Source organism: Homo sapiens, chromosome 1 (assembly GCF_000001405.40).
Source record: "Homo sapiens chromosome 1, GRCh38.p14 Primary Assembly".
In the NCBI taxonomy this organism is placed as follows: domain Eukaryota; kingdom Metazoa; phylum Chordata; class Mammalia; order Primates; family Hominidae; genus Homo; species Homo sapiens.
Window position 1 is genome coordinate 196421330 of NC_000001.11, and position 19955 is coordinate 196441284.

The window sequence follows — 19955 nt, forward strand, 5'->3', positions numbered from 1 at the left end:
TTCCTAATGCTTACACCTCTTTTGCTACACAAAGATAGTACACATACTGAAAAACTGAAAGTAATTTAAAGCCAAATTACCACTCGAGGGGGCACAACACTCACAATTACATAAGTCAACCAAATATAGAAACACTTGATTATCTTCAGTTCAAATTCATTTCTTCAATAAACATGTTTGGAGTACCTACTATGTTGAACCAATTAAGAAACGATTAAAGTAGTGCTTAAATGAACTGATGAATCAGTCTGATCTGAATTAAGGTAGTAATTGTGAAGAAAGTGGGGAGCAGATACTTTTTCTCATATATATATTTCAAAAAATATTTTAAAAGTTTTCCAATCATTTTTTGGTCTACACTCTTCTGTTAGTTTCCTAGGGCTGCCAAACAAAGTACCACAACCTGAATGGCTTAAACAACAGAATGTTATTGTCTCACAGTTCTACAGACTGGAATTCGGAAATCAAGTTGTTGGCAGGGTTGGATCTTCCTGAGAGCTGTGAGGGAAGGATCTGTTCCAGACCTCTCTCCTTGGCATGTATATTGCCGTCTTCATGTTTACATGGTGTTTTCCCTGTATACGTGTCTGCCTCCAAATTTTCTCTTTTTATAAGGACACTGGTCATATTGGATTAGCGCCTACCCTAATGGTCTCATTATAAATTTATTACTTCTTTCAACACCTTATCACCACATAAGTTCACATGCTGAGGTACTAAGGGTTGGGACTTCAACGCAGGAATTTTGTAGGCCCACAATTCAGCTAATAGCAGCCCACTCCAAATGAAAGATGAGAAAATCAGTTTAAACATTTTAGAAATGGATAAGTAGTTTAGGTAAATTAGAGTGAGGACAACACAGAGCCTGCCCATTCAGGACTTACAGTCCTAGATTAATGTAAAAGAGTATGCCTATTAAGTGCTCCAGAAGAGAATAAAACGTATACCTGAAAGATCTATGCACAGTTTGCCTTTTCCCATTCTCTATAGAAACCACCAATTGTTCTCATTTGTCCACACATTGCAGATAATGGCTAGAGATGGAGTCATTGGCTTAGAAACACAGGAGGTAGTAGAATTTACTGAACATAAAATAATGAAGCACTTAAAAAAATTATAAAATAAAAAATTTTAAATATAATTTATACCATTATTTGCTTTATACAATTTAATTTAAAGTTTGATAGAACTGTGGACCTAAAAAATGCATCATAAATATCATATAAGCCAAAGGTTACCAAACTGAAATGTGTTTCAGAATTACCTGTGGAGCTTTTAAAAATACAGAGATTGTTGATTACCACCCCAAATATCTTGAATAGAAGGTTCTCAAATGCATAGTTTTGAGAAACTCTCCAATTGGTTCTAATGCCTGATCCATCTGCTTTGTCTTAAGGTTGAAAAAATTGAGGCCACTTTAACAAAACTACATATCATAAGACATACTTAATAAAAAATGTTCCAGTTCTGTTTATATATGATTCATTTTGATCAACAGATTATGAGAATATTCATAGAAACTATTTGAAAAACACTTTTGTTAATACAATCAATGATACAACTGTTCTTATGGAAAAGATAGCTCAGTAATATTTGTTTCCTTTTAGTAAAACTTTAAGGTCACCAATACTTAATGCTGGCGAATTTTTAAAAACTCAAATTAAAAAAAATCTTCTAAAATGGAAAGCACAACTTACTAAAAAAGATTTTAGAAACTTACAGATGATGTCCTATCCACTTCACAACGGCTACTGAGAATAAAACAGGCCTCAGCGTCATCCATCCTAAATACAGATGGAAAAACAAAATAATCACACACTGAAATATCTACAGGTTTTCTGAAAAATAGAATTTCAGTCTTGAGTCCATATATTGCACAAAATGTACATGTAGACCATGTATATCCTTAAGCTTAAATGAAAGTTGAATTTCTAGCAGATCATGACTATATCTGATTTTGAACAAAAAAAAATTTGCTATTGGGTTGTCTATTATAACTTAATGTTTTATGACAAAAGTTAATAAAAGCCAAATGTTATTTCTTTGTATGATTAAATATATTTTATATGCATGCTTTGAGTAAATTAAGGGGCTATATTGGTCTTTATTTTATGATTAATAGTATTTTAACTGTAATGTCTGAATCAAACTAAGAGGGGTGGAATACAGCTCCTCTGTATTCATAAGTAAAACTCTAGTTTGTATTTATACTTCCTGGAGATCATTCATCATCTTTTTCCAAGCCCCTTCCCCTCATACTAGGGTTCAATATTTCTTAAGTTTAGTGATAAAGACACAGTATATTTTAGTGTTTGATACATGATGTTCTAAGAGCACAAGAATGTTTATTTTCAAAATGAGGAATCATTTATCTCTGTGGTTCTCTGTGATAAAGTAAATATTTTCCAAAAAAAAAAATGGTTTCTATGGGGAGGAAATATAAAAGTCCTTGAAATAAGACCAAACCAAACAGTTCTGGGAAAATGTTGCACCATGGTTATTAAGATAATATGAGTGTTGGATAACTTTCTTTAAACACCATTTTCAACTAAACAATTCAAAACTCATGTAACTAACCTATGAAACTTGTTTGGAGAATCCTACTCCATGCTCTATGCATGAGGAATTGCACTGAAAAATGTATTAGTTTATATTAAATCCCAAATATTTTATAGGAAGCTAAGATTGGAAATGAACATAAAAATGGATACTGCGTCACTCTAACTTGTTTTTTTAAATAGCTTTTAGAGTATGACCAGATAGCTACCTCTCTCTCTCCTTCATTCCCTTCCCTTTTCTTTTATCACATGGAGGAATTCTTCTTGTAAATATGGTCGCTTTTACCAAGACATCATTTTAAGACTATTGGTAATAAATTAGTTACATTAATCCTAAATAGTATATAGCTTAGATACTAATAGCTAATACCAATAACTCAGATAAATTTGTTAGATGGAAAGAAGCCTCCATGTATTACACAAATTCATATTGAACATAATATGAATGTTATTCATGTTTATTGTGTGAAGAACTTAACTATCATACAATAAATTAAGAATATTGATTATCTACACCAATGAATACAATGATCTAGATTACAGTAGTATCTAAGCATCTATTTCTCTAGCACACCCAAATAATGAGTATAGATAGCAAACAGTAAACACCTAAAGCCAGGGTTTACCTGAGGTGCTGGGAAAATCTGATGACTTAAAGAACTGTCACATGTACAATGACCACAAATATAAAGTATTTAATCCACCAAAAAGATGAAAATACTCACAAAGAAATGTAATTTTCCAATTAGATAACACTCATTATATCCTGCTAGTTTCTCGTGCTGTTTTTTTTTCAGAAGTTGAATCATTGAAAAAAAACTCCATTAAATCGACTTTATTATATATAAATCAAAGGTAACATCAGAGTTCCTGACTAGGTATCTAGTCATCATTTGAAGGATTATGCAGCACAAAGGAGTCCAGAAGTCTGTTCCACAAAACAGTTGACTTTTCTTCTGTTCTTTTCCAACACCCACTAGACAGACACACACACACACATACACACACACTTGCACACACAGTGAAGACAGGCACAAATACACACCCGCTCATGCACACTCAGGTTATCCAGGAAAGAAAAAAAAAAGTATAAAGCACTTATGCTATTCAATTCAGTGGGAGACTTTTAAATCTAGAAGAGTATGCAGGACAACTCAAGGGTAAACATGAAGATATGTTTAAAACTTTAAAAACAGCAGAAAATATTGAGCAAAACCACTTTTGTTGAAGATACCTTCTGGCATCTGAAACTAAGGAGACTGTTTTGCAGAAACTCTGTTTCTGTGGTGTCCACGCTATGCTCAATAATACTCTCACTCTACTCATATGATACAACTTGGTAACTTGTGACAAATGTTTAAGACTATGTCACCTTTAAGACAAATTGCCTGGTACATGCACAAAAAGAAGAGGGTAGCTGAGGGTAGCTAAGTAAGTCCTGTCACCTTTCTGATTCCTCTAGTCCATGGCAACCATTTTTTCTCTGACCCCAGGCAACACAAGTGCTATGTGTCCAATACATAGTGCAAGCTCTTTAAAATGTAAACCCTAACTCACACTGCACTGGTATGTCACACCATATTTAGCCCACAATTTTTATATGTGGGATAAAAACAGTATTCGGGGATTTGGAGACTACTCTAACAGTGAGTCTGGATACCTCAGTGAATCTCTGACAGCTTAAGATAATTATTCTGGGCCACTTTTTTCATTGTGCTGTGTGGTCACAGTCTTCTGAACAGTTTTGCCTTGAGATGAGGCTGAAAAAGAGGAGTAAACACACTGATTTTATGATATATTTTTGACCTTTTAGTTTGGCCAGCAGAGGGACTAAGGCAAGAGTCTATACTCAAACATACTTTAACACATCTTGCAACACTGAAAATTGCTAAAATTTGGAGGAAAGAGAAAATATTAAGTCACTCAAAACTGTAAGCTGCAAGATGAAAGGCAGGGATACCTACTTTGCTCTCAATAGGTCTTGATCTTTAAGGGCTGAACCTTGAAGGTAGATAACTCGTTGGGACCACATTGGAATCTGCAGTACCCTTCGAACCTGTACATCCATTTCAGTAGGACACAAAATCACCACATAATAATCCTATTCAAAACAAAATGGGCAATGGAATAGAAACAAAAATGTTTTATGTTACACTACATAGAAAAATAAAATATCTAAGAAAAATTTGAAATATGATAAAACTGAAATGAACTTTTGCTAATAAAATTTCACATTTAAAACCTGGACATATATTAAATAGCAATTACACTATAATAAATACAACTGGGACATACACAAATCTCATAAATCAATAAATTCATCTCAACTTATTTCAGTCTTACTAAGACCATAAGGGAAGGTAATCAGTGGTTATACCTGGCACACACTTTCAGCTTGTGAAGGTTTTAGTTTTATCTACAGACTGATCCTAAAATATACATTGAACACCAGGCAGAAGCATTTAAGTATCAATTCATACTTCATTACTTTTAGGATCAAAATTGTGATAGCGATTTATATCATTTAGCTATATAATTATGAAACAATAATTTTGAACAGTTTCTGATGAATATTTGAATGAATAAGGATCCATAAAAACACTGAAAATACTGACAAAGTAAATTAAATGAACATGATATCAAAATATTACAAAATATATGGTCCTTTGGAGAAAATTACATCTGAGTGGTGAAACAGTTTAAACCAATGATTTATAGAAATTAAAATTCTCTGGTAAACATTCACCATTTTACTGCTGTAAAATATATCTACTAGGAATTTCTGGAGTTTAAATAATTCTCTACATTGATACTAGATAAAGTTAATGACTGTATGATATGGTTTGGATTTGCGTCCCTGTCCAAACCTCATGTTAAATTATAATTCCAAATGTTAAGAGAGGGGCCTGATGGGAGATGACTGAATCACGGTGGCAGATTTCCCCCTTGCTGTTCTCCTGATAGTGAGTATGTATCACCACCCTCTTCCTCCTGCTCTGGCCATGTGAAGACACACCTGCTTCCCTTTCGCATTACACGTGACCATAAGTTTCCTTAGGCCTCCCCAGACATGTTTCCAGTATAGCCTGTGGAATCGTAAGCCAATTAAATCTCTTTTCTTTATACATTATCCTCTCTCAGGTAATTCTTTATAGCAGTGTGAGAGCAGGCTAATACACCATGGGATCAAAATTTTCCCACAAATGGATTTCCTTTATGAGTTATGATAAGTAAGCTTGAAATTAATTAAATATAAATAATTAAAAAAACAAGTATGGAGTTGCTATTAAAAATGCAAGTTAACATATGAAAACAAAAGAATAAGAACCAAATGATTCTGCCATTTAAGATAGAACAAAATGATTCTATCATTTAAGAATCAATTATAAATTAGGTGTTTTAAAACACAAAAATATAGTATTTATAAAGGTCTACAAAATATTCACAAATCAATATTTCTATGTTTTGTAAGGAAAGGATAATTAGAAATACTAAGCATTGTCTTGAAGTCTGGAGTTATTCTACTTCTTGACAAAACTTTGTTGAGTAAATACAAGACCTTCAACAGACTAAGTGCAGTAAGCAGGAAAGGAGATTAATGCCATGGCCCGTAGCAGAAAGTGGAAATATTCAAGAATTTTATCTGCATAGACAGAAAGAAAAGTTTCTTCTTAATTCATATTCTCAATTCAGCTAGTTATTGTCCAATTTTTGGTCATGTATTGCTATACATATAGGATATATTTATACTTCAGGAAACAAAAGAAAAAAATGAAAGTCCCAGACTTCCACATTTCCATTAGCAATCCTTGATAAAATTCTGCAGTATTTTAACTGAGCAGATGATATTGAAATGGTTTCTTTCTTGTTTTATTATATTTTATCTTAAAATTCACTGTTCCATAAAAATATCATTTATGCTCTACCCAAGGGAGAAAAAGCAATCTTTTAATTCAAAGAAAAATTTTCTTGTAGCATTAACATTATTCCATCTGTCTTTCAGCGTAGATACAGAAGGAAACTTAAAATACTGAGTATTCCTCCAGCATTTTTTTTCTATGTTCCTGGTTATATTTGTGGTTCTTCATTTACTCCTTCTATATTTGGTTGTATAAATAAAAATCCTCCACAAAGCAGGCTGCACCATCAGTTAATTGACTTTGACAATATGTTAGTAGGTATGATCCAGTATAGCACATAATATAAGCCAAATGTACCTGGAGCCTAGGATGAGCATAGAATTCATTTAAAAAATCCATAAGTAAATCAATCTTCAGTGAGCTGACACACAGGACGACATGCTTTTCAGTTTGAGCTCTATGTCGACTATAGTTTCCTCCTGACTTTTGTCTCTCCATCCACAAATAAGCCAGCTGTTCAAACTGTAATATATTTTCCACATGTGAATGAAAAACACAGTAAGGAAATAAATAAATCAATGCAATACATCTATTGTTTATTAGGTATTTTCAATTTCCTAGATGGAACTCATTGAGATTCTAATTGTCAGTATTCCCCTTCAACGACAGACTTTTCATATAATTTCTACAGAGGCTGCAAATGTCTCCCAGGGGCTTCGGGTCTCTAAGGAAACATATTAACATGATTTTGCTATCACATAATAACAGGCCACTAAGAGGTTTGTACCTCTGCTTTATGTCCAGTAGAGCTGAGTGAAAGAGAAAAGCCTCATTGCTATTTTCCCACATTCTCTGTCAAATTCTAACCATATCTCATGCAATAGGAGTTACTCTTACCATAACACACAAGGCCACATTCTAGCTGTACAGTAGCCATTAACGGAGGAAAGTGAAAGGTGCAAGGGAGGGTATGTCAGGAAGAAAGACATGCATGAATTTATCGGAGCAGGAAGGCCATTTTTGCAGGTATTCTATTCAGATACATTGCGGCCAAAGTTTTGCAATGGAATATGCAAGTTTGATTTGCATTTCCCTATAGCCTGCTTCTGATCTGCCCACACATGGGCAGCCAGGGCTTATTATAGGAAAGAGTTAGAGATTGCATCTACTTATCTTTAATTCCATTTATATATCCATCCCTTTGCAACCTCCCTACTCACTCCCCAAAGTGCCACATAATATTTACATACCATGTTCAGACTTTTTTTTTTTTTTTTGTAGAGATGGGGTTTTACCTTATAGCCCAAGCTCATCTTCAACTCCTTGGCTCAAGCCATCCACCTGCCTCAGCCTCCCAAAATACTGGTATTATAGGCATGAGCCCTGCACCTGGCCCAGATTTTATTTGACAAACATAAGTAATAGATTTTTCTTCATTGCAGTGTATGACTTTGTGGTTTATTTTGAAGAACCAAGAGAAATCAACCCTTCACAAATTTATTTCTTTGATCTATCATCCTATAATTAAAAACTATGTTATTCTATATTTAATATAATTAAGTACCCTATACTAAAAAAAATCTTGAATGATTGAAATAAGATGAGTGCTGTCAGTCATGACTGGAAGGAAAAAAAAGCAACTCGGTGTTTCTAATAAAATGTAAAATGACATTTCTGCAGTAATTTATGTAATTGATTAAATGTAATGATAGTATGTGTTAGTAAATTAGTGTTAGATAAATAAGCCACTTTCCATTTCTTATTAAATGTGGAGGATTCAATTTCATGTCTCTGTACATTTCTATGCAATATAAGATGGTTTTGTTTACCTGTATGGGTAGAACCACAAGAGCAACACAAATCATAGCAACTACAAAAAGCTTGGAGGACCATGTTTCAGGAGTGACATCCCCGAAGCCCACAGTAGAAAACGTCACAATGCAGAAATAAAGGGAGTCAAAGAGATTCAGCTTCTTTCCTATTCGTTCCAGATGTTGGATCCCACAAATGCTAAAGAAACAAATATGCATTACAATTAAATCTTTCAAACTGGACACATAATTTCTCATCATTATTCTTTTGAAAGCCAAAGCACATTTCATAAAGCCATTTAATAGTCCCTCTTATATTTTACAATATATTTTTCTAGGAAAGATATAATTAGTAAGTTCTTGTCCTACATTGACCAGACATGATCTTATTTTGATTAATAGACAAAAGTGGTAGCTAAAATATCACACAGTATATTTGAGTAACATGCAAAATGAACAGATAATTTCATGGGTGATACACATAGACACTGAATGAACATCAACACAAGAAATCGCTACCTCTAATCCCTACCAAAATACCAAGTCTTTTCTTTTTCTTTTTTTTTATAATTTTTTTGAGACTCTTTTTCTTTTTTTATAATTTAGGAAGAAGAGAAAGACAGTAAAAGGCTTGAGGAGTTAACAATTGCCAAATGCTATGGTTTGAATGCTGTCCCCTCCAAAACTCATGTTAAAATTTAATTGCCATTGTACCACACTAAAAGGTGAGACCATTAAGAGGTGTTTAGGTCATAAGGGCTCCACCAACATGAATGAACTAATGTTGGTATCCTGGGAATGGGCTCCCTCACAAGATCGATCTCTCTCTCTCTCTCTCTCTCTCTCTCTTTCTCTCTCTCTTTCTCTCTCTCTTTCTCTCTCTCTGTCTCATGTGTGCTTTCTCTCTCTTTGCCTTTCTACAATGTTATGAGATAGCAAGAAGGCCCTCACCAGTTGCCAGCACCTTGATCTTGGATTCCCAGCCTCCAAACGCAATATAAGCCGATACGCTTCCATTTATTATAAATTACCCAGTTTCAGGTATTATTTTATGGCAGCACAAAATGGACTAAGACACAAAACAATTCTTAAAACAAGTCCTTAAATGAATCAATCATTTGTGCAAAGCTATTGATGAGGTGACAGTAAGAGAGCAGCGTAAAAGTTGTTAGATGTCCTCAAATTAGAAATGTGTTAAAATCACATTAGAAATAATGCTGCTATTAACAACAACAAAAAAAAGCAAAGTGAGACTATGAATAATAAAATGTGTTTTGCAATGTTGGAGGAAGATGTAAGATTTGCAACACAGCAATCAGTGTATAATTGCTATGGTTTGAATGCTTGTGTCCCCTCCAAAATTCATGTTGAAACTTAAATTCAGAATGCAACATTATTCAGAGGTGGGCTTTAGGAGGTGATTAAATCTGGAGCTCTCAAGAATGGAATTAGCAATCTTATAAAAGTGTTGGAGGGAACCAGCTAGCCCTCTTTTTGCTCTTCTGCCTTCTGCCATGTGAAGACACGCCACAATGCGTCATCTTGGTGAGAGAGAAGGCTCTCACCAGATACCAAATCTGTGAGCCCTTGATCATGAACTCCCCTTCTTCTAGAACTGTGAGAAATATGTTTCTGTTCATAAATTACCCAGTCTCAAGTATTTTGTTACAGCAGCACAAATGAACTAACACAGAAATTGACACTGAGAAATAGGGTGTTGCTATAACAAATACCTAAAAATGTGGAAGCAGCTTTGGAATTGGGTAATGGGTAGAGGTGGGAAAAGTTTTAGGGTACATGCCAGAAAAAAGCCTAGATTTTCAGTGTTTAAGGGCAATTTTGGTGAAGGCTCAGAAGAAGAGGAGAGTAGAGAGAGCCTAACTCTTCTTATAGATTATTTAAACAGTCATGACCAGAATATTGGGGGAAATACCGACGGTAACGGCCTTTCTGATGAGTTCTTAGACAGAAATGAAGACTATCTAATTGGAAACTGGAGGAAAAGGCATCCTTATTACAAAGTGGTAAAACTTGGTAATTATGTCTGTGTCCAAATATTTTTGTGGAAGGCACAATTTAAAGGTGGTGAACTAGAATACGTAGCAGAAGAAATCTCTAAGCAAAGTGTTCGAGGCGATGTATTGTGTTTCTTGACTGCTTTTAGTAAAATGTCAGAAGAGAGAAATGGATTAAAAATGCAATTTATAATCAAAAAGGAAGCAAAACCTAAAAATTTGGAAAATACCCAGCCAGGTCAGATTGTAAATAAAAATTGTGCTCCAGAGAAAACACCAACAGTTTGTCCAAGCAACTATGTGATAAGGAGACTCTTGTAAGATAAAAGGAAGCCAGGTGGTCTTCATCAAGACAATGGAAGAATAATCCCAAAGGCATTTTGGAGCTCTTCCAGACTGTCACCCTCATCACAGGACCAGAGTGTGAAAGGTTTGAGGGCAGAATAGTTTCAACGGAGGAAACCAGGGCACGTTTGGGGCCTCAAGAGTCAGCTTTCTTCATTCTGGTGCAGTGCTCTTTGGCTACCCCAAGTGCTGGTCAAGCAGGTGCAGGAGTGACTCAGGATGCTGCTATGGAAGTCAGAGGTGGTAAACCTTGGTGGCATCCATGTGGTGCCAATTTTGCAGGTGCGCAAAGAGCACAAGCTGTGAAGGCATGGTGACCTTTCCTCTAGATTTCAAAGGATTCCTTGGAGAGCCTTGGGGCCAAGAAAGAGAACTACCACCGGGGTATGGCAGCACAGAGTCCCCAACTAGAGCAATGCCTGGTGGAGCCATCCCTGAAACCCCAGAGCTGTAGTCAGCAGCATGAAATGCCAGTGTGGGAGAGCTGGAGATGCTAGACCCCAACTCCGTAAACGCTGCTGTGTGGTCTTTGCCAAACAAAGCTTAGAAGATGGGGCTTCCCATGGCCTGGTAGGGGCCGACTCCTCCCCAGTGTGACCAGAAGTCAAGACATGGAGTCAAAAAGTATTCTCAAACCTCAGGATTTAATGTTTTTTCCTTGTTGGATTTCCAACTTAATTGGGACCTATTACCCATTTCTTCTTGCCTATTTCTCCCCTTTGGAATAAGAATATCTATCCCATGCCTGTCTCACCATTGTATTTTGGAAGCACAAAACTTGTTTAATTTCACAGGCTCACAGCTGAAGAGTAATTTGCCTCAGGGTGAATCATGCCTTGAGTCTCACCCATATCTAATTTAGGTGATATTTAGATGAGACTTTGGACTTAGAGTTGGTGTTGGAACAACTTAAGACTTTAGGGGCTACTGGGATGAAATAAAATGTATTTTGTATGTGAGCAGGACATGCATTTTGATGGGCCAGGAGCAGAAGGCTATGGTGTGAATGTGTCCCCTCCAAAATTCACACTGACACTTAAATCCCACAAGGCAACATTATTAAGAAGTGGGACCTTTAGGAGGTGATAAGTCATGAGGGTAGAGCACTCATGAATAGAATTAGCAACCTTATAAAATTGTGGGTGAGAACCAGCTGGGCTGTTTTTGCCCTTCTGCCTTGGGAGGATGCAATAGTAAAGCCCCATCTTGAAAGCAGAGAGAAGGCACTCAACAGATGTTAAATTTCCAGCATCTTGATCTTGGCCTTCACAGCCTTCAGGATTGTGAAAAAGGAATTTCTATTGTTTATATATTACCCAGCCTCAGGAATTTTGTTATAGCAGCACAGACTAATATAATCATGGAATACTACTCAGTAAATAAATAAATAAATAAAAATTAAAAGAAGCCAAGTTCTGGATAAACAGCAAAAACATGTTGAGTGAAAGAAGTCAGATATAAAAGACCACATGTTGTATGATTCTGTTTATATGAAATATCCAGAGAAGAGCCAGCAAATTAGTGGTTGCCTGGGACTGATGATGGGAATGTGGTGGTGAAAATGTTCTGAAACTAAATTGAGGTGATGGTATATATCTCTTTATGTATATAACTTTGAATATACATGAGAAAATTATTGAATTTACACTTAAAATGAGTAAATTTTATGACACATATATTATGTCCCCATAAAGCTATTTTAAAAATCAGTGTATATTTGTGAATACTCACTATGGCTTCTGGGCACAAGAAGCACATGGCTCAATTATGACAACCATGAAGAAATAAATATTCAATGTTTACTTTCCAGAAGTTCCTTTTCCGGCCTTTTAAGATAATCTCCTTATTTGTCTAAGTTATGTAGCATACATATTCTATTGTCTTTATGTATATATATATATATTGGTACAGTCAAGAATAAGCTTATGAATGGTTAGGTAGCTGGGTAGGTACACAGGTAGAGGTATCAAGAGACAGAAGAGAGAAAGGAAGATACATGTCATCATTATAATTGTTTACAACTGTTGTGTGTGTTTATTTGCTTTTTTCCTTTTTCTTTTTTCACTTCAGGTCTCCAAAATGGCCCAGCAAAATCGCCCTCGTTTTATGCTTACAAATTTTGTGTGAGCTGCCAGACTGTAAACATACTTAAACCAATGAGTTGATTCATAACAGTTTATTGGCTCAGCTGCCCCTATGGAATATTGCCAAACTAATTACGAGAATATTCAAATGTAGTCTAGTATTACCAAAAATGGAATTGTATAACACTTCTGTGAAGTCAAGTTTTAAAATTTTATTTAAAATAACATATGTTTGAGAGTGTAAACAATTTTTGCTTAACTTCTTTATACTTCACTAGAGAACAGAGAAGAAAGATAACATATATTTTTAATGATTCAAATATTGAGTGCTTGCTTTTGCTTGAGTCTGCATTAAAAGCCGATCTCTGATTATAGTTAAAATGTATATTTCTTAATTCAAATATATATTTTCTAGACCTAAACTACCAAAAAAGTCTCCTACTGTGCTTCCAGGTCTTTTGTTTGTCCTTTTAACATAATGTACTCATAAGGGCAGTATTCATATTCTTTAAACACAGCTCAACCTCAGGTTCGAAAAGCTGCGGGATTCTCACTGTTTAAAGAAACCTCTATAACCTGTAGTTTGATAGATTATTATAATAGCTGCCAACAAATGAAGTCTTCATATGTTCTACAAACCCTTCTTTTGCAATATAATATTCCTGTACCACCCATCAAGATATGAAGTCTATGTCTTCAGGTCCTTCAATCTGAACTGGACTAATGACTTGCTTTGACCAATAAATATGACAAAAGTGACATTATGTGGTTGCAGATGCTAAGCCTTAAGAGACATTGCAGCTCTTTTTTCTCATTTACTTGATACCCTGAGACCACCACACTGTGAAGATGGTGGTACAGTCTACTAGAGGATGAGAGGCCATGTGAAAGAGAACTAAGATGTCCTACTTGGTTCTCTTCCAATTGCCAGACATAATAGTAGGGCCATCTTACATCCTCCATTTCTCCTCAGGCCATTACTGAAGTTGAAAGAGTAATTACAGGTAAGACTGGAAGAAAATCTGCCCTGGAAATCAACCACAGAATTTTGAGAAATAACCAACTGGCTATTTTAAGCCACTAAGTTTAGGGGTGTTTTGCTATTTAGCAATAGATACTTATGTGTGTGTGTGTATGTATATATATATATATATATATATATATATATATATATATATATGAATATGGACTACAGCATCTGGATCTCATTTGTTTCTTTCTTAAACTTTTGTCTCATTTATCTCACCTTCACTATTTGGACTGTTTACTTAACATAATATCATTTGAAATAGTCAAGTACTAAAAGCAAGTAAAATAGGCTTTACTTTTCCTAGTAACTAGTATTTATAACTCCAGCCTTTGTTTCAGGTAGTAATATTTAAATATAATAAATGAAAAATTGGGGAATTTGAAATGCATTTGATTTACTTATTGAAATTCATTCTACATAAATAATGTACAAGTAAATAATAAACTAAAAACTTGTCTTTTATAAAACAGATTGCATATTCCAATATAAGATATATTTATTTTAGTCACATTTCATTCTGAAATGTCTATGTCAATAACGTATTTCAAAAGTTTTTATGATTAACTTTGCTACCATGTTGACGTACAAATCAAATGCTTGATTCATAATCCGATTATGTCACAGTGAATACTGCATGCTCTAATACAAAGTTCAGTCAATCAGTTTAGTACATACTAAAGCATTCGGACAACTGTCTAGGCTATGTTTTATGGAAGAAACAAATTACTCAATATTAGAGACAGAATTGCCTGTAATAGGTATACAATCTGGACTCCATTGTCACTTTCACATTAAGTTTTACAACTACTTCCCTTTTTATTATCTTGTTTTTATGTAAAAAGTCACCTCCTCAAAGAGTTGAAATTGTTTAGAGGGGAATTTTGCAGTAATTTGCACTAGCTTATCACATCCTAAAGGTAGAATGTTCACACTGTTTAAGAAAAAACTGTCTTCAAGCCTCATAAAATCCTAAAAAATTCATTTAAAAAGTATTTTTAAAATTACTACTTCCGAGTTTTTATTTTACAAAATGATACTAAGACATGGAGAAGTTTGATTTAAAAACAGAGAATAGACTATTCTGATTCACATTATATAGTCATAGCATCATTTTCTGATACCCATTATAGAGTACCTATATACAACATGTGGAAAACATTGTTTAATTGCATATTCTTTTGGTTACTGGCAACACAACTGGAGAGGTTTCAAAGATAATAAATATAAAGACTTATTTTACTGCTCTGTGGTAATTATTCAAGTAAAATATATCTTTATATATAAACTATCTCTTCAAAAAGTAATTCAGCTAATTGTAGGAAGGAAGAGAAGAAAGTGTGCCTTCAGGACAGGTAGATACACAGACAGTTGATTGTTACCTATATGTTATATAAGAATTAAGGCAAAGACAGCTTTAGAACTGGTAACATACTGGATTTGCCTTATGCACAAACATTAATATTACACAAATACATATTAGTTATTTTACTTAGATCTGTGAATCTTAAAACATGCTACGTAAAGATTTGAAGCAATACAGTGATAATCAGGCATTATAATATAGTTATCTTGTTTCATTCACACATGTCTTTGGAGCTATTATTAAATGAAAACTGTCTCCTCTCTTTCATCAAAATTAATGAATTTTGGTGAGTTCTTATTTTGTGTCTGTACCCAGAAATAATTTTAATGATAGGCAGAGATTTTCTGATAAATTAAATACAAAATGTACTCAAATACAGCACATTCATAAGCATAATATTCTATTTTGCCTTATCATAAAAGAAATGCATCTTTTCAGTCAGTTACAACCAAGTTAAACAATTTAAATTATATATTACATTAAAAGTGGCAAAAGAATTTAATAATGTCTCATTACAGCATAAATAACCATAGTTGGTGGATTTTAGTAAACATTTTGGTATGTTTACATTTTCTAGTAATCAAATTTAATATTGTTTTGTGACTGGGAAATATACATATATTTATATACATAAATATATATCATATATAAATATATATTTATATACATAAATATATATCTATATATAAATATATATTTATATATATTTATATATATTTATTTTAGATTGCAATAAATTTTTTAATTTAAAATGTTTAGGCAGGGGATATATGATAATAAACAAAATGTGTGTTACAATTAGGTAACTACCAAAACCAAGTATTTTAAGAAAGCTTATATATATATATATTTATATATTTTTTATAAATATTTATTATATATATAAAATATATATAATATATATAAATATATTTATATATTTATATACATAAACATATTTTTATTTATTTTTATTAATATATTTTTATTTATATATATTTTTATTTATATATATACACAAATTTTATATATATATATAAGTTTTCTTAAAATACTCGGTTTTGGTAGTTACCTAATTGTAACACACATTTTGTTTATTATCCTATATCCCCCGCCTAAACATTTTAAATTAAAAATTTTTTTGCTATCTAAAATATAAAAAAGAAATCAATGTCACACCATGTTCTATTTATAATTTTTGCTTAGTTAATACATATCAAAGTTACTCCAATTCATTTATAGTCATTTACTTTCAAATGAAAAATTGCAAATGAATATCTTTTTAGTATAATTTCTCCATTGCAAAAATACCTATAAATTTTAAATAATAATAAAATCATTTATGTACACTAACAGGTGCTATAAAATTTTACTTAAGTATTTTGTAATGGAAAAAAGCTACCTAACATTATAAAAGTTAGTCACATTTATTCATACAAATAAATTTATTAATGTTTTACTAGCCAAGCATTGTACTGGATGTTACAGATGCAGGTATCAATAGGACAAAGGTCTTTCACCCAGTCTGGTAAAAAAAGAGCCTCTAGAATCTAAAGTGAATGATTATGACCTCACTTTACTATTACTAATAATATCATAAATTAATAAATATTTTTTATTTGCTGAGTGCTAACCTAGGTAAGTTACTCAAACTTCATGCTCCTCAAATGAAAAGCAAATATATTAATAATAATATTAACTTCCCATTGGCTATAATGAGAAATAAATGAGCTAATGCTCTGTGAAATGTCTGGGATAGAATAAGGTTCAGTGAATTCAGTAGTAATTTTGTTATTTATTTATAGCCCCAGAATGAGAGAAATAGAATAATAAAAATGAATCAAATATATACACAAAAGTCTCATAAAGCTTTTGTTTCTATTTTACAAAAAAATAAAATATTACTGCTAACGATAGAGTCAGGGATTATAGAGAGAGAAAGTGGTGATAAGAACATAGTGTTTATCCCTCTTTCCTAAGGATTCACTAACAAGTTTATTAGCAGCAGACACCATCCAGGGATTAATGAGTAGCTATAATCTTGTCCTTTCTCAATGCTGCAAGTCCCAAGGGTTATGGAAGTGGAAATATGGGCGATCATAGAAGGCTCCAAAAAAAGAAGAGTTAGGCAATTTGCAAAGTAAACCCATAATCTTTAACTATTTGCAAAGAATAGTCATGTTGAGATTAGTTGACCTTTGGAGGGTTGACTGCCATCATTTACAGAAACTGACAACGAATTCTTGGAAAAGCAGTCAGGGAAAAAAGATTAAGCACTATTTCAGTGCCAGTATGTCAACATCAGGCTAGTGACTTGTTTTAAAGGATTACTTATCACTGAGATTAATTGAATAAAAGGATTTCATTTGTGATTATATAAAAGACAGTGTATCTGTATATCCTATATGTATATATTTATACAATTCACTAAGTTATGTAACTAATATCATGATATGTTAACATTTAAGACCTAAATTTTAAAATAGTAATATTTTGAAAAAAAATCCAATAGAATTTTCTCTTTTTATATTACTTAAAACATATATTCATACTCACTATTAAGATTTAAATGGATATTTAATTTTAAATGACTTAAGGATTTTATATTTTGTGAATGTTAAGTATACCTATTTTTTTAAAGTTTATGCACTTTAGGAAGCAGATAAATCTCGCCATTCACATATTTATCTTTTTGCATAACTGTGGTCAATATTCACAATATTGAGCTTAAACTGGACTTGGGCTTTCAAAACTAATTCACATAGTAATTTCTGCCTTACCGTGATTTAGTTTTATATGAATGTCCACTTTGGTTAATATCTGTTTTAAAGAACACTGCCGCAGAATAAAAATCCTTTAAGAATTGTTATAGGCTGGTATTCTAGTATTTTTTTCTAAAATTCAGGTAAATACGTGTTTAAATTATGAATACTATAGAACAAAATGACAAATGGCTAAATTTGTCCTTAAACACTTTTTCAGAACTTGATTACAACCAATGTACAACAGAAAATACAGAAATTTCCTGGGGAATTTCACATACTTTAATAATTCCAGAATTATATGAATAGAAGATTGAATACATGACTAGAACCATGTGAAACAAATATGCCCCTTGACAAGTATATTGTTTTATGTGGTTTTCAACAAATAGTTATTGATTTTCCAAATACAACCTACAGATAGTAGGGGATAAAGGCAATGGTTAATAATGACATAAAGTAAGAAATACTACAGAAAATTTTGCAGGTAGAAGGTAGGAAAATATTTCCCTTTTGGGCATGCTGAATTTAACATTCCTATTAGATATCCTCCATCCATTTGGATTTTGTATTTTATTAATATATACCTGTAGCAAGCCATTTCTTACACTCCTTGGTTTACATCCTACTTGAACTTGTTTACAGTTCTAATCTTTTCAGTTCCAAAACAATAGTAATATGGACTTGTTATTAAAAGATATATAATAACACATGGACACTGGGAGGGGAACATCACACACCAAGGCCTGTCGGTGGGTGTGGGTCAAGGGGAGGGAGCGCATTACGACAAATACCTAATGCATACGGGGCTTAAAACCTAGATGATGGGTTGATAGGTGCAGCAAACCACCATGGCACATGTATACCTATGTAACAAACCTGCACATTCTGCACATGTATCCCAGAATGTAAAGTAAAATAAACTAAAGACATTCAATAAGGATACAAAGAAAGTCTTATATTATCCTACCCCTGTCTACCCTTGAGGTAATGTTTAGTGTCTTTTTATTTGTTTAATATTTTGTTTGGTTTTAATTTTTAATTTAAATGCACTTATGATTTTATCCTGGCAATTTATTACCACAGGATTTTTAAACCCATCATTTTAAAGTGAACTTTGTCTTCAGTTCTGTATTTCATTGTATGTATATGTTCCTTGAAAATCCAATTTGGCAGTAAATATTAAGCAGATACAAGATTCTGCAGTCAAATACATTTGGCAATTCTGGCTTAGGCATAGTTTTTTATCAAATGACATTTCACTTTTTTTATTGCACTAATATTTATTGTGTATCTCTGAGAATTGATTAATTTTAAAGGATTTACCAAACATATCTGCCAAATATTTTGGTTTATACAGAATATTTCAAAGAGTTAGGGTTTCGTGGAATAAACCTTGAGAATGTGAGCCTATAATTTGTGCTTTGTCTTAGTAATTAAGAATCACAGTTTACCTTAATCATAAAATGACTTGGGTAACTTTTATCTTTGTCTATGATGTGGATTACACAGCCCTGGAGTAACTGTTCCATAAAGGAATTTAATAATGAAACTGTCAGTTCCTATTTTTTTTTGTTTTTTCATGGATATCAAAATATATAACTTAAAATACAACATTTAAAAAATTCTCCATCTCTACCCTTCATCTCAATTTGATTCTACTTAAAAACCCATAAGTTTGCATTTTGGCATGACCTACCATTCCTTCCACAGATCCAAAAAAATCAATATGCCTCACTAAGCATCTCTTTTACTGAGTTCCTACAAATCTGAACCTTGAGAACTCCTGACAAAGTACGGTCTATACATACAGACCCACAGCAGCCAAACAAAGCACTAGATAAGCACAGAAGCTCCCTCATCCTGCTCAGAAAGAAGCTGGGAGAAGACAGATTTCTTTCCTAAGTACTGCAATTATTTTGAAATGTGGCTCACCAAATTGAGCATGCCATATGGAAAGGAAGACTCAAAACTGTAACTCATTAAAAAAATTGACATTCCACCTTTTTGTTAACTGAAACCGTGTTAAATCTTATTAAGAATAATTTTAGTTAAAGAAACTATTTAAACACCTATGAAACATCTTAACCACATTAACTGAAAAGTATTAGGCCCCATTTTGCAGTATCTAGATTCATGGCATATATC

The 19955-nt window shown here is 33.0% G+C and overlaps 1 protein-coding gene across 13 annotated transcripts in view; it reads right to left on the reverse strand.

Moving 5' to 3' along the window:
• The window catches only part of KCNT2 (potassium sodium-activated channel subfamily T member 2), a 382662-nt gene that overhangs the window by 195551 nt on the left and 167156 nt on the right, over positions 1–19955 (reverse strand). For all 13 annotated transcript variants that reach the window (NR_146057.2, NR_146058.2, XR_001737149.3 and 10 more), the window contains 4 exons: positions 8248–8428; positions 6776–6940; positions 4523–4659; positions 1721–1784 (listed from right to left, as the gene is read on the reverse strand). Coding sequence is in view for 9 of the 13 variants with exons in the window: in NM_001287820.3 (NP_001274749.1) it covers positions 1721–1784; positions 4523–4659; positions 6776–6940; positions 8248–8428 (547 nt within the window). In the remaining 4 variants the exon portion in view is untranslated. The remainder of the gene's footprint in view (positions 1–1720; positions 1785–4522; positions 4660–6775; positions 6941–8247; positions 8429–19955) is intronic.